The 13,931-nt window shown below is 41.7% G+C and overlaps 1 protein-coding gene across 20 annotated transcripts in view, besides 3 other annotated features; it reads right to left on the bottom strand.

Annotated features, from left to right (window-relative positions):
* The window catches only part of RBPMS (RNA binding protein, mRNA processing factor), a 187,716-nt gene that overhangs the window by 124,604 nt on the left and 49,181 nt on the right, over nucleotides 1-13,931 (bottom strand). The gene's annotated exons all lie outside the window — the stretch shown is intronic.
* Nucleotides 282-809: an enhancer, noted in NCBI's record as "H3K4me1 hESC enhancer chr8:30304360-30304887 (GRCh37/hg19 assembly coordinates)". NCBI's record gives its function as "activates a minimal SCP1, AML or CMV promoter by ChIP-STARR-seq in primed H9 embryonic stem cells {active_cell/tissue: H9 hESC(primed)}" and the evidence as "EXISTENCE:reporter gene assay evidence [ECO:0000049][PMID:30033119]".
* Nucleotides 810-1,338: an enhancer, noted in NCBI's record as "H3K4me1 hESC enhancer chr8:30303831-30304359 (GRCh37/hg19 assembly coordinates)". NCBI's record gives its function as "activates a minimal SCP1, AML or CMV promoter by ChIP-STARR-seq in primed H9 embryonic stem cells {active_cell/tissue: H9 hESC(primed)}" and the evidence as "EXISTENCE:reporter gene assay evidence [ECO:0000049][PMID:30033119]".
* Nucleotides 9,423-9,958: an enhancer, noted in NCBI's record as "H3K27ac-H3K4me1 hESC enhancer chr8:30295211-30295746 (GRCh37/hg19 assembly coordinates)". NCBI's record gives its function as "activates a minimal SCP1, AML or CMV promoter by ChIP-STARR-seq in primed H9 embryonic stem cells {active_cell/tissue: H9 hESC(primed)}" and the evidence as "EXISTENCE:reporter gene assay evidence [ECO:0000049][PMID:30033119]".

The raw sequence follows: 13,931 nt of genomic DNA, 5'->3' as shown, positions 1-13,931 counted from the left end.
TATCGTATGTTTCACTTCTTAATATAATAATGTCTCCTTACAAAGTCTTTCCTAAATTAAGAATTAGGAGATCTTTTTCTACATGGGTGACAGGCTGGAAGGAAATACTTTGCAGGGATGCTCAAGACTGGTGATTTATAGAACCCAGCAGCTCTATAATGCAGTTCAGTCTTTTTGTCAGATGTTTATAATGATGAGTATCCAAAATTCACAAAACATTGCACTATTACACACTTTACTATTCTAACCGCTAACTTCCTCTAATATATTCTCTATTTTATGTAGTAATAAATTTCTGTTGGGCACATGATTTCCTAAATTCCCTTGCTAGTTAATACTGTACAGGTTGAGTACCCTTTAACTGAAATGCTTGGGCCCAGAAGTGTTCAGTTTTCGAATTTTTCCATATTGGGGGATATTTGCAATTACACTTTCCATTGAGCATTCCCTTTGGGCATCATGTCAGTAGACAAAAAGCTTCAGATTCTGGAGCATTATTTTGGATACTCAAACCATATTAGTAAATTCTGGCCTATGGTGTGGACAGAAGTGATGCCTGCAACTTCCAGGTGGTGCCTTGAAAAGAGAACATTCCTTTGGTATGCAACAAAATCAAAAATAAAATAAGAGCTTTTTTCCTGCTTTCTTGTTGCCTAGAAGATGACTGTGGGAAGTAGAGCACCCACCTTAGATCATAAGATGACAGCTACCTGTTGAAGATGGCAGAGAATCAAAATATAAAGTCACCTTGGGCAAAATACTGAAGTTCCATCTCTACCCCACTACCCTCCACCGCGCGCGCGCGCGCGCACACACACACACACACACACACACACACACACACACACACACACACAAGCCATGTGTGGTGGCATGTGCCTGTAGTCCCAGCTACTTGGGAGACTGAGGTGGGTAGATCGCTTGAGCCCAGGAGGTTGAGACTACAGAAAGCTAGGATCACACCACTGCACTCCAGCCTAGGCAATGGAGCAAAACCCTGTCTCAAAAAAGTCTGATAAATATAGACCACTTTTCGGGCTTTTACATGAGAGAGAAATAAATGCCTATTATGGTTAAGCCACATTACTTTGGTTTTCTGTCGCTGCAGCCACTATCATACTGCATCCACGTGCATGCACACACATACACGCACTATTAGGGATTCTAATGCTGTCACTAATTATCATCTCATTTTTAAGAAAAGCTTATTTTAATTGATGGCTGAAGTAGTCTACCTGTAGTAAGCCTTAAAATAGAAAACACAGAAGTTAGTTTTTGAGTGTCAAGTTTGAAACAGAACAGCCTCACCCTGATTGCTGGCCTTCATTCTTACATTAAAGGCAATAAAATACAAGATTTACGACACTGTGAGACTGCTAAAAATAAAGTGTATTACATGACCAAATCTACTTCGCAGATTAACCACAATAAAGGGGAAAGTGAACGAAGGAATAACTACCATAATAAAACGATAAAATCATCTTTAAAGTTAATATCCCAGACATCAGGATAACATGAAGTTGCAAAAGAGATAAGTGTATACAAAGAAACAAGCCTTACACTTGAAAAAGGTGATCTTTGGCAATTTTGATTTAATGCTCCAAGTTGTTTTTCATGTACCATATTGGTGTCTTCACTGATTTCATTGTCTCTTTCTTTAGCAAAGTCTTCACATAAATGTATTTACAGGCTGGGCACAGAGGCTCATGCCTATAATCCCAGCACTTTGGGAGGCTGAGGCGGGTGGATCACTTGAGTCCAGGAGTTCCAGAACAGCCTGGGGCAACATGGTGAAACCCCATCTCTACAAAAAATACAAAAATCAGCTGGGAGTGGTGGTCTGTACTACACGCTACTCAGGAGGCTAAGGTGATATAGGCTCGCTGGAGCCCAGTTGGTCGAGGCTGCAGTGAGCTGTGACTGCACCACTGCACCCTAGCCTAGGCGACAGTGCAACACCTTGTTTCAGGAAAATACATATATATATATATATATATATATATCCGTGTGTATATCTACATATGTGTGTGTATACATGTAATAGACTAAAGATAACTGATGAAGAAATGGCAAGGAGAAAGAAAAGATGAAAACTCCAATGTAAGCTTTCCATCTACAGAGAATTTTTAAAAGAAACTAATAGGCTACTAATTTATGCATAAAAATGGAACTTATAGTTCTTCAGATATAAGCCAATAAAATAATCTAAAGATGTAATTCTTTTGAATTATCTAAATAGCTCTGTATTATAGTTACTTTTGTCAATCTATGTATCTTACAGACACAAGGATAGCAAGATTTACCTTTAGATTTTAACTTTGTCCTTCAGAGTTTCTGCTTCCAGTATCTGGCTTATCTTTTGAAAAGCACACATTATTCTTTCATGCATTCCCACATTGTCCTTTTGATCAGGCTTAGACTGGGTAAATATGTGTATTAAGTAGAAAGAGAGGATGAAATAGGTCTAATTATTTTTCACTGTAAGAGCTACAGTGTATTTTCAATAGATATTAATGGATCACAGGATAAAATATACCAGATCACTAGACTTTCAGGCCAAATGTAATATAGCCATGAACTCACATGAAACATCAACCCCACAGTCCTCAACTCAGAAGCCACCTCTCTTTGGTAAGAAAAAAAAAAATCTTAGAAGCATTTAAGTTGCCTAAAATTTAAGAATTTTCTACACCATCATGTTCTAGAAATAATCCATTGGCAGCAAAGCAGATTAAAAGATTTAAGATGCACAGGGTGGCTTTCGGTTCTTACCGTGTGCTTAAGAGTAGAGGCAAGTCAAGGCTGAAGTCACAACAAAAGAAAACATTTTAGAACTTATCTGAAATCTTTGAAATAGATATCTGAAACTGTTCAATTGTTTTGGCTAGGCAAGATGGAGTGAGGAGGAACATGGAACTTTTCTGCTCTGCCTTCTTTGTTCTGTCTTTCTTGTTCTTTTACCATGGGAAAAACAGACCTGAAACCCAAATGAGATAATATGCGAAAAATACACACAGATACTTATGTAGGCCTTCACTACATCCACTTTAAACCACTATGATTTAAACTACTCTTTTAAATAATAACAATCTAGTCATAAAGTATAGGAAGAATTCAGTTTTGCACTAACATTTATAGGGTGCTTACTAAATGCCAGGCCCTGTTCAAATGGTTTACATATGACTCCACAACCTCTAATCCACAACTCCAAAATCTAAATGCTCTGAAAGCCTATAGTGCTGAGTCTGGGAGAAGGGCGGTGCAAACTCACTGGGTGGCAAAACCTGATCTGAAGTGATGTAAAACTATTTATAGCTTTAATTTATCCCGCTTAGTGTATTATTCATGTTTCACTGCAGAAAAATTAATGTGCTTAGTTACTATGTGCTACCTTAGACATTGCTGTATTATGTTACCTATGGGTTATGTACTATGTTATCTTTTACAATCTGAAAGAGGCAGGGTGTGGTGGCTCACACCTGTAATCCCAGCAATTTGGGAGGCCAAGGCCGGAGGATCACTTGAGGCCAGGAGTTCAATACCAGCTTGGCCAATATGGTGAAACCCGGCTCTACTAAAAACACAAAAATTAGCCGGGCATGGTGGTGCCCCCCTGTAGTCCCAGCTACTCAGGAGGCCGAGGCAAGAGAATCGCTTGAACCTGGGAGGTGGAGATTGCAGTGAGCTAACTGCATTCCAGCCTGGGCAATAGAGACAGACTCTGTCTCAGTGAATTAATAAATCAATACAAAATCTGAGGCTGGGCGCGGTGGCTCACACCTGTAATCCCAGCATTTTGGGAGGCCGAGGCGGGCAGATCACAAGGTCAAGAGATGGAGACCATCCCGGCCAACGCGGTGAAATCCTGTCTCTACTAAAATACAAAAATTCGCTGGACGTGGTGGTGGTGCACGCCTGTAGTCCCAGCTACTCAGGAGGCTGAGGCAGGAAAATCACTTGAACCTGGGAGGCAGAGGTTGCAGTGAGCCGAGATTGCACCACTGCACTCCAGCCTGGGCAACAGAGCGAGACTTTGTCTTAAAAACAAAAACAAAACAAAAAAAACCTGAAAGATTTTTAAGCACATCCGACCCCAAGGATTTCAGATAAGCAACTGTAAACCTGTATCTACCCAATTCCCCCTACCACAACCCTACAAGATAGGAGCTATTTTGCAGCTAAGGAAACTAAGGGTTAAGGAACCTGTCCAAAATCAAAACAGCTGGTGTTAGAGCTTGATTTGAACTCAAGCAGTTCAAAGCCTGGGCTCTTAACCACTATACTACGCAACCTTTTGTTTTTACATCATGCATATTAAAGGTTTTTAATTTTTTTTTAGCCATAATTACCAAAAACATTAGTGCAGGACACCATTTTAAAAAACTATTTAAAATAGTCTTCAGAGAAAAAATATTAAGTATTACAGTTTAGGAGTATATTGACTTTGGGCCAACGGATTCCAATATTTTACAAAAAGGCAATATCCACGCAACATATTCCAGATTCGGGTTGTGGAGAAGCTGCAGGGCTTGAGGTGACTCTATCACAACTGCTTTCCGTACGGAGGAGCCACTGCCAACTGTGTGGACGAGAATACTTAAGCACGTGCTTTCATTGCTCCACTGCCACAGGTGGATATTTCAGGGGAATTATTATTAATTTCAAAGTTTTTTAAAAAGCTATGATAAGTAAATAAAAGTAATGGTAGGAGTCACGGTCGGAGAGCTTATCGCCAAGTCTTTCTATAGCCTTCCCCCGGAAGCCCCAGTTCAGGCATCGGTCACCCGAAGTGTCACCCTCTGATCTTTCCCCCATCCCATCTGAGGAAGTTAAAGAGATCCCTCACAGGTACCGTGGCTCTCGGTGCCCTCGCACTTCCAACAGCCGGTTCGGGCCCAGGAGACTCGCTCCGACTTCCACCACAATGGCGGCCAGTGTGGGCCGCGCAACCAGAAGTGCGGCCGCGCACCTGACCCAGCTTCCGCCTGCACCTAGAGCTCAGCGCACCAGCCCGGCTCAGCCAGACGAAGGCAAACGAAGAGATGCGGATCCCTGGAGGACTGGCCCCACCGTGAACAAAACAGGAAGCATTCCAGGAAGACTGCGGGGGTGGGAGAATGCAATTAAAATGGAAAAGGCAGCGACTGGCTGCGAAGGTTTACAGAAACAGAAGATAAAGCGCCAGAAACCCACATTCTGGAGTTGCCACGGTGAGGGTGAAAGGAGTGGGAATGAGCTGAGAAAAACCTGCAAGGCTCCAGGATCCTAGAGTGCAACAAAACGAAGGGCCAAGGTGAAAAGCGACTGAGACTTGGTGAGGCAGGGAAGGAGAAAATGGAGTGTAAAGAAGCCTAAATGTTTTATTTCATATTTTGGCTTAAGTTTGCCTGTATCACCAGAGGGAACATCTAGCACAGTAAAGGCCCAGGAAATACTGTTTAGAATTGTTACTCAGTAGCCACGCGCTCTTAGGTCAGACATTTCCCACGCTTGAGCCCAGGAGTTCGAGACCAGCCTGGACAACATAGCAAGACTATACAAAAAGAAACAACAAAATAAAAAATAGGCCGGGCGCGGTGGCTCATACCTGTAATCCCAGCACTTGGGGAGGCTGAGGCGGGCGGATCACGAGGTCAGGAGATCGAGACCATCCTGGCTAACATGGTGAAACCCCGTCTCTACTAAAAATAAAAAAATTAGCTGGACCTGGTGGCACACGCCTGTAATCCCAGCTACTCGGGAGGCTGAGGCAGGAGAATCGCTTGAATCCAGGAGGCGGAGATTGCAGTGAGCCGAGACTGTGCCACTGAACTCCAGCGAGACTCCGTCTCAAAAAAAGAAAAATAAAGTTATTTCTGATATGGTATTAAGAGAATCCACGAATAAAAAATATTGATGGCAGATAAATCAGAACATTCCTTTACCCCTTTTTAATTTTTTGGAGGGTTTATTTTTCAGATCGAACGATAAGGAAACATATGTTGATACTACCCAGCGTCTGTAACAGAGGAAGTTAGGCAGTATGAGGGAAAAAAAAAATCAATCACGGGAGAGAGCGGAAGAGATCTACCACCTTATCCATCTTCTTGACTGTACAGTCTCCAGAGCATTTCCATTAATGGGCAAGAAACATCCCAGTGCATTGTACACCTGTTATTTGTAAACTCTTGTGACATGAATAATGCTTTCCTCACAATCTGTTCTACTGAACTTTACTTTTTTCTAATAGTTCTGCCAAGTTTGAGATCTGCAATTTTAGCTACCATGATGTTCCACTGCTTTTTCTACCTACACAGTCCCACACAGACTGTGCTGAAAATCAAGAAGAAACAATGATACACTGCACCAGACCCGCTGTAAGTTTAAAAACCCCAAAACAGTGTTTAGGAGCAAGTGAAAGAAAAAAATTTTAACTCTACCTTTGCAGATCGCACACAAATCTCACATTTGTCCAACCCCAGGTGCTCAAAGTTATTTCATCATTACGGTTAATATTAAAAATGGACAGTTACGGCTACTATCAAAACTCAAAATAGTCCAGGCAGGGTAGCTCACTCCTGTAGTTCCAGCACTGTGAAAGGCTGAGGCGGGAAGATTGCTTGACCAGCCTGGGCATCATAGCAAGACACTGTCTCTACAAAAAAATTAAAAGCCAAACAAAAAAACAAACTAGCTGGAGGGGGGCGGGGCGGGGGACTGTGGTGGTGATGTGGTCCTAGCCAGTCAGCTACTTTGGGAGGCTGAAGCAGGAGGATCCCTTGAGCCCAAGAGTTTGAGGCTGCAGTGAGCTATGATCATGGCACTGCACCCCACCCTGGGTGAGATAGTGAAAACCTATCTCTTAAAAAAAAAAAAAAAGTTAAAAAAATAAGTGTTCTCAAAGATGTGGGAAAAATTGGAACCTTTATGCACTGTTGTTGGGAATGCAAGCTGCTATGGAGAACCTCAAAAAATCAAAAACAATTACCCAGTAGTAGTAGACCCAGTGAGAACAAAAGCAGTATCTCAAAAAGACGTTTGCACACCTGTGCTCATTGCAGCATTATTCACAATAGCCAGGTGGTGGAAGCAACCCAAACATCCATTTGACAGAAGGATGGAAAAATACGATGGAAGCCTTAAAAAGGAAGGAAATTCTGGCACACGCTACGACATGGATGAATTTTGAGTACATTAGGCTGACTTAAAGCCAGTAACAGACAAATACTGAATGATTCTACTTACATGATGTATCTAACTAGTCAAATCCATAGAAAAAGGGAGTAAGAATGCTGGTTGCCAAGGGGTTAGAGGTGGGGTGGATGTGGGGACAGCGAGCTGTTGTTTAATGGGTATAGAGTTTCTGTTTTGCAAGATGTAAAAGTTGTGGAGCAACAATGTGAATATACTCAACACTACTGAACTGTACACTTAAAAAAGGCTAGGGCTCAGCACAGTGGCTCACACCCGTAATCCTAGCACATTGGGAAGGAGGATTGCTTGAGGCCACAAGTTTGACACCCGCCTTAGTAATAGAATGAGACCCCGTCTCCAAAAAATAAAATAAACAAATGGTTAGGATGGTAAACTTTTGTTTTGTGTACTTTACTGCAGTTGATTGATCGAATGACTGATTGATTGACTGACTGACTGATTGATTGTAGAGACGAGGTCTCACTATGTTGCTCAGGCTGGTCTTGAACTCCTGGCCTCAAGTAATCCCGCCTCAGCCTCCCAAAGTGCTGGGATTACAGGCGTAAGCCACTGCACCTGGCTTTAATTTTTTTTTAATTATAAAAAATAAGCACAGCCTGGGCAACATGGTGAAACCCCGTCTCTACAAAAAATACAAAAATTAGCTGAGCAAAGTGGTACATGTCTATATTCATACCTACTCAGGAAGCTGAGGTAGGAGGACTGCCTGAGCCAGGTCAAGGCTGCAGCGAGCAGTGATGGTGCCACTGCATTCCAGCCTGGGTGACAGAGGGAGACCCTTTCTCAAAACAAAAACAAAACAAAAGGAAAAAAAAAAGTCAAAAAACGGGCAATTAGCAAGAGGGAAGCAAGAGGGGGTGTGGGGGAGCCAAACTCTAAGAAAGAAGTTTTTCCTCCTAACCTTTAGAAGAATGTATCATCACAATGTCAAAAGATTTGCTCACCGCATTCCTTCTTTGAGACCCTCACTGCAAAGTCAGCCTATTCAAAGTTTCTCGTAGGTGCTAAGCTATGGGTTTCCTTGTAAATCATGAATCAAAGGAAAATATTTTGCTTTATGAACAAAATTACTTTTGTACTTCTTGGAAATTGCCCATTCATGACTTCCCACTCACCTGTAAGATCTGCCAAGAAACATGGAAGAAAGAAAACACATCCTTTCCTTTTGACTTTGATTAAAGAGGTTTGCTTTTAAATGATACTATGAAATGTACGGAGAGCACACACAAAGTTTATCTCCAAACATTATTTCCTGAGCATAGTAACTGACTACAGCTGTTAATTTAGTCTCAAATAAGAACAAAATAACAACTAGTACTGCAGTATCAGAGTATTTTTGACGCTTAAAGGTAAACTCAGATATTCCCCCTCAGCAAACAAACATTTAAAATAAGTCACATCTTCTTGTAATTTCAGTACTTTGGGAGGCCAAAGCAGGTGGATCACATGAGGTCAGGAGTTTGAGACTAGCCTGGACAGCATGGTGAAACCCCATCTCTATTTCTAAAAATACAAAAATTAGCCGGGTGTGGTGGCATGCGCCTGTAGGCCCAGCTACTAAGGAGGCTGAGGCATGAGAGTAACTTGAACCTGGGAGGTGGAGGCTACAGTGAGCTGAGATTGCACCACTGCACTCCAGCCGGGGCTGGCAGAGCAAGGCTATTTCAAAAAAAATAAATAAAAAAAAAGTAAGATCGCATCTTCCTATCTCTCTATATAGATACGATGCGAACTTGATGACAAAAATCATGGGACATCAAGCCTATCTAATAATATCATTATTGCAAAGACAAAGAAAAACATTTATTAAGGTAGAATAATATAATATCTGCATTCAAATGCCTCTCTCATTATGCCCCAGTGTGTTAGAATAAGAGCTAAAGACAGTGATCACACAAAGAATTTAATTCTAGTGCAGAAGTAAATATGGTAATTCTTACATTCCTCAGTTTAGAGGTAGTCAGTTAAGCTTTTGCTTGAGCAAATGTTTCCTCAATCAAGTCACAAGTTTCACGTAAATGGCATTTTTGGCTGCTATTTTTCCTCCTTCCTTGCAGTAATGACCACGTCAACACTTCCTGGTTCCACTTACGGTCAGTCTCCTTCATTGTACAGGGAGGACAGAAGGGAAAAATCCACTTGGTTATACTCTGTACCTGATAAAAGTAATGACTAACCTAAAACATGGAAAGTAAAAGGCCAACACAAGCAATTGGCTCACTCTGTTGCTCGGGCTGGTCTCAAACTCCTGGCTACATAGGTGATCCTCATGTCCTGGCCTCCCAAAGTGTTGGGATTACAGGCATGAGACTGTATTATTTAGAGAACCCTGCTGATTAGCTTATTTTACCAAAAACTACCAGGTTATTTATCAGAGGAAAGGGGAAGATAGGAATGAATAATAAGTAATAAATAGCTATAATTGTGCTCTAAGATGAACTTGCAAAATAGATAAATCATTTCCTAAGTAAAAATAACAACTTTTTTTTTTTCTTTTTTTGAGACGGAGTCTCACTCTGTCACCCAGGCTGGAGTGCAGTAGCACAATCTTGGTCCATTGCAACCTCCACCTCCCAGGTTCAAGTGATTCTCCTGTCTCAGTCTCCTGAGTAGCTGGGATTACAGGCATGTGCCCACCACGCTCGGCTACCTTTTTTTTTTTTTTTTTGAGATGGAGTCTCGCTCTGTCACCCAGGCTGGAGTGCAGTGGCGTGATCTGGGCTCACTGCAACCTCCATCTCCCGAGTTCAAGTGATTCTCCTGCTTCAGCCTCCAAAGTAGCTGGGATTACAGGCAAGCAATATCATGCCCGGCTAATTTTTTTATTTTTAGTAGCGACAGGGTTTTGCCATGTTGGCCAGGCTGGTTTTAAACTCCTGACCTCAGGTGATCCACCTGCCTCGGCCTCCCGAAGTGCTGGGATTACAGGCATGAGCCACCAAGCCCAGCCTAATTTTTGCATTTTTAGTAGAGATGGAGTTTTACCATACTGGCCAGGCTGGTCTGGAACTCCTAACCTCAAATGATCCTGTTGCCTCAGCCTCCCAAAGTGCTGGGATTACAGGCATGAGCCACCACGCCCAGCCAATAACATCGTTTTTAAAAAAGCCTTCAAAGAGTTCAATACAAAATTTTTCTGAAGTAAAGTTATTTTTCCAAGTGGCAGGCTCTGATAAGATCAATTTTAACATTTTGACTTATAATCCCAACAAATCTAGGTCAAAATGCTACATATATCGGCTGGGCGCGGTGGCTCACGCCTGTAATCCCAGCACTTTGGGAGGCCGAGGCAGGCGGATCATGAGGTCAGGAGATCAAGACCATCCTGGCTAACACGGTGAAACCCCATCTCTACTAAAAATACAAAAAATTAGCGGGCATGGTGGCGGGCGCCTATAGTCCCAGCTACTCGGGAGGCTGAGGCAGAAGAATGGCGTGAACCCAGGAGGCAGAGCTTGCAGTGAGCCGAGATTGCGCCACTGCACTCCAGCCTGGGCGACAGAGCAAGACTCCCTCTCAAAAAAAAAAAAAAAGCTACATATATCACGACAAGGGAGTGTAAACACGTAAAGGTTCAATATTTATTCAGTTACAGTCAGGAAATATTTATTACGTGCCCTTAAGCAAGAACCTCTTTTAGAACAAAATCCAACTCCTTTATAAATTTGACACAACGAATTCTTTTTAAAACAAAAACACAAGCAAACCACAACTGCATGGAAGAATGCAAGGGCACCAGCAAGCTCAGGCACACTGCATACCCTAGACTTGGAGAAGCAGGGAAACAAAGTGACGTGTGCTGAGAAAACTATTGCAGTCCTAAGTGGTATTAGTGTTAGATACAGGAAAGTGATAGTCCTCCCCTGTTCTTGCATAGAACAGCTATGCTCAGAGCACAAGATTCCAACTGACGACTGACAGGGTAAAGTTGGAGATTTGGAGAAAAGCAATCAGGCTAGTAAAGGAACTGGAAACTATGACCTATGAAAGTAGTTGAGGGAGGTAGAGATGGTTAGCCTAAAGGAGAAAAAAGCAAGGCTCAAGAGAAATTAGACAGCAGCTTTCAAATATTTTTAGAGAAGTAGGTTAATTATGGTAGTCATTCAACAAGGTAGAAATCATACCAAGCATGAAGTCACAGGAATGTCCCAGGAGTGTGCAACCATTGGAACTGTCCATAGTAAAATGGGCCAGCTTGAGCAATAAAAGTCTCCTAGTACCAGGAAATGCTTAGAGGTTGGGGAAAGTGAAAAAAAGGGGGAAAGTGAAAAAAAGACCTGATTAAAGGAGGAGGCTGATGTCATTACTCTGAGAAAAGACAATTGTTTTCTTCAAAAGGAAAAGGAGCTAATTATTGGAAATAACTGAATTCCACATAAGGACTAAGAAGAGTCAGAAAAATTGTTGTTGTCTCCCTGTACTTACCCACATTCCCCCAATTCTTTATATTTCAGATCAATATAGTCCTAATTTAAATAATCTAACCAGGCCAGGCACAGTGGCTCACAACTGTAATCCCAGCACTTTGGGAGACCAAATCAGGAGGATCACCTGAGGCCAGGAGTTTGGAGGCTGCAGTGAGCTATGATCACACCACTGCACTCTAGGCTGGATGACAAAGCCAAGAATCTATCTCTTAAAAAATAATAATTATCTAACCAAAGGTTGTTTCTTTTCCTTCCAGTCACTGATTTATCTTTGAAGACTCTTCAAGAGTATTCTTGATGTAGAGTCTTCCCTAACTCATCACTCCATTGACCCATCCACCCCCACATAGGCTTGTGCATACATCCCCATTGGCTGCTGTCTCTCTTCTCTATGCTTCCACAAGTTAGTTGTCTGTGTATATCACCAACACAGTACCCTCTGACCCACAAGGATTACTGATATGAATGGAATCTTAAATTGTAGCAAAAGGCTTTGAATCTATGTCATGTATCATAAAATACTGGTACCATGAGATTACAACAATCTGTGATTTATGAAACAGAATTAACCAAATCAACAGGCAACATATCCCAAGAGGCCTCCAGAGAGTATTTGTTATAGCTTAGCACCTCCACAAGTAGTGTAGGTTGAGCATCCCTTATCTAAATGCCTGGGACCAGAAGTGTTTTCAATTTCAGATTTTGGAAGATTTGCATATACATAATGAGATACCTTGCAGATGGGATCCAACTCTAAACATGAAATTCACATACGTTACACATATACCTCATATGTGTAGCCCAAAGGTAATTTTATATAATATTTTAAGTAATTGTGTTCATGAAACAAGTTTTGACTGCAAAGTTTTGACTGTGTTTGACTGACACATAGGGTGAGATGTGAGGCGTCATGTCAGTGCTCAAAGTTTCAGGTTTTGGAGCATTTCAGATTTTCAGATAAGGGATGCTTAACCTGTAAGCATTTGGATCGGATGGATGGATGGATGGATGGATGGATGGATGGATGGATGGATGTCTTCTTTGGAAGTTCATCCTTCAGAAATATGTCTTAGAACACTTCCATTTTATGTCTTTCTGCTGATCACAGATTATAAATTCCTGAGGACAATGATGTCTTCCTTTCCCTGTCCCATGAGAACCCTTAGATGCAGATTAAACGGAATTCCCTAAAATCCTTGCTGCCAGAGAAAACTATTCTTGAGAACTAAATGTGTGTGTGTGTGTGTGTGTGTGTTATATGGGAATAACTCCTGTTATTTCTGCAAATCTGGACTGACTTCTTTTTGTTGCCTTTTTTTTTTTTTTTCGAGGCAGAGTCTCGCTCTGTCTCCCAGGCTGGAGTGCAGTGGTGCCATCTCCGCTCCCAGCAGTGGCCGCCATCCCGGTTCAAGTGACTGTCCTGCCTCAGCCTCCTGGGTAGCTGGGTTTACAGGCACCTGCCACCATGCCCAGCTAATTTTTGTATTTTGAGTGGAGACGAGTTTTCTCCACTTTGGCCAGGCTGGTCTCGAACTTCTGACCTCAAGTGATCCACCTGCCTCAGCCTCCCAAAGTGCTGGGATTAAAGGTGTGAGCCACTGTGCCCGGCTTGCTGTTCTTTTTTGTTCTTATTTCTTTTGTTCTTGGTCTTGTTCACAAAAGACCAATGATAGTAACTCCCCTACCCCCACTCTCCCATAACAATCTTTGATACTCCTCATTTCCTAGAAGTTGTAGCAATTAAAAAATCACAGATCCCCAGTACTGGACCTAATATCAACCACAGAATTTCAGAGTTTGAAGGTTGCTTAGAGACTATCTAGTGTAGCTCCTTCATTTTATACCTTAGAAGGATAAAGTCACTTATCGACCCAGGACTTTATTTTTATTTTATTTTTTATTTTTTATTTTTTTTGAGACAGAGTCTCGCTCTGTTACCCAGGCTGGAGTGCAGTGGTGTAAACTTGGCTCACTGCAAGCTCCGCCTTCCATGACCCAGGACTTTAAATACTTTTTTCACTTTTTCTTTTTAAACTACAAATGAAATGTAGGTTTATCCACCTCAAAGAATTTACTGATTTGGGTTTAGGACCACCTGAAATTAATGACTGTTCAGCCATTTAACTGTTGAAATAGATCATATTTGAAATTCATCAATTAGATAACACGTGTATAATCATGCAAGATCTAAGAATCAGGACATGGAAGTTCCAGGTCAAATTAATAATTATAAGAACAGCTACAATATCATGAATTCCTACTATGTACCAGGTGGTGAATCAGATCCTATGTTCATGCAATTATCCCAAT

This window comes from Homo sapiens, chromosome 8 (genome assembly GCF_000001405.40).
Source record: "Homo sapiens chromosome 8, GRCh38.p14 Primary Assembly".
Taxonomy (NCBI): domain Eukaryota; kingdom Metazoa; phylum Chordata; class Mammalia; order Primates; family Hominidae; genus Homo; species Homo sapiens.
The sequence above is the reverse complement of the archived record's forward strand: the minus strand, read 5'-3'. Positions and strand labels throughout refer to the sequence as shown.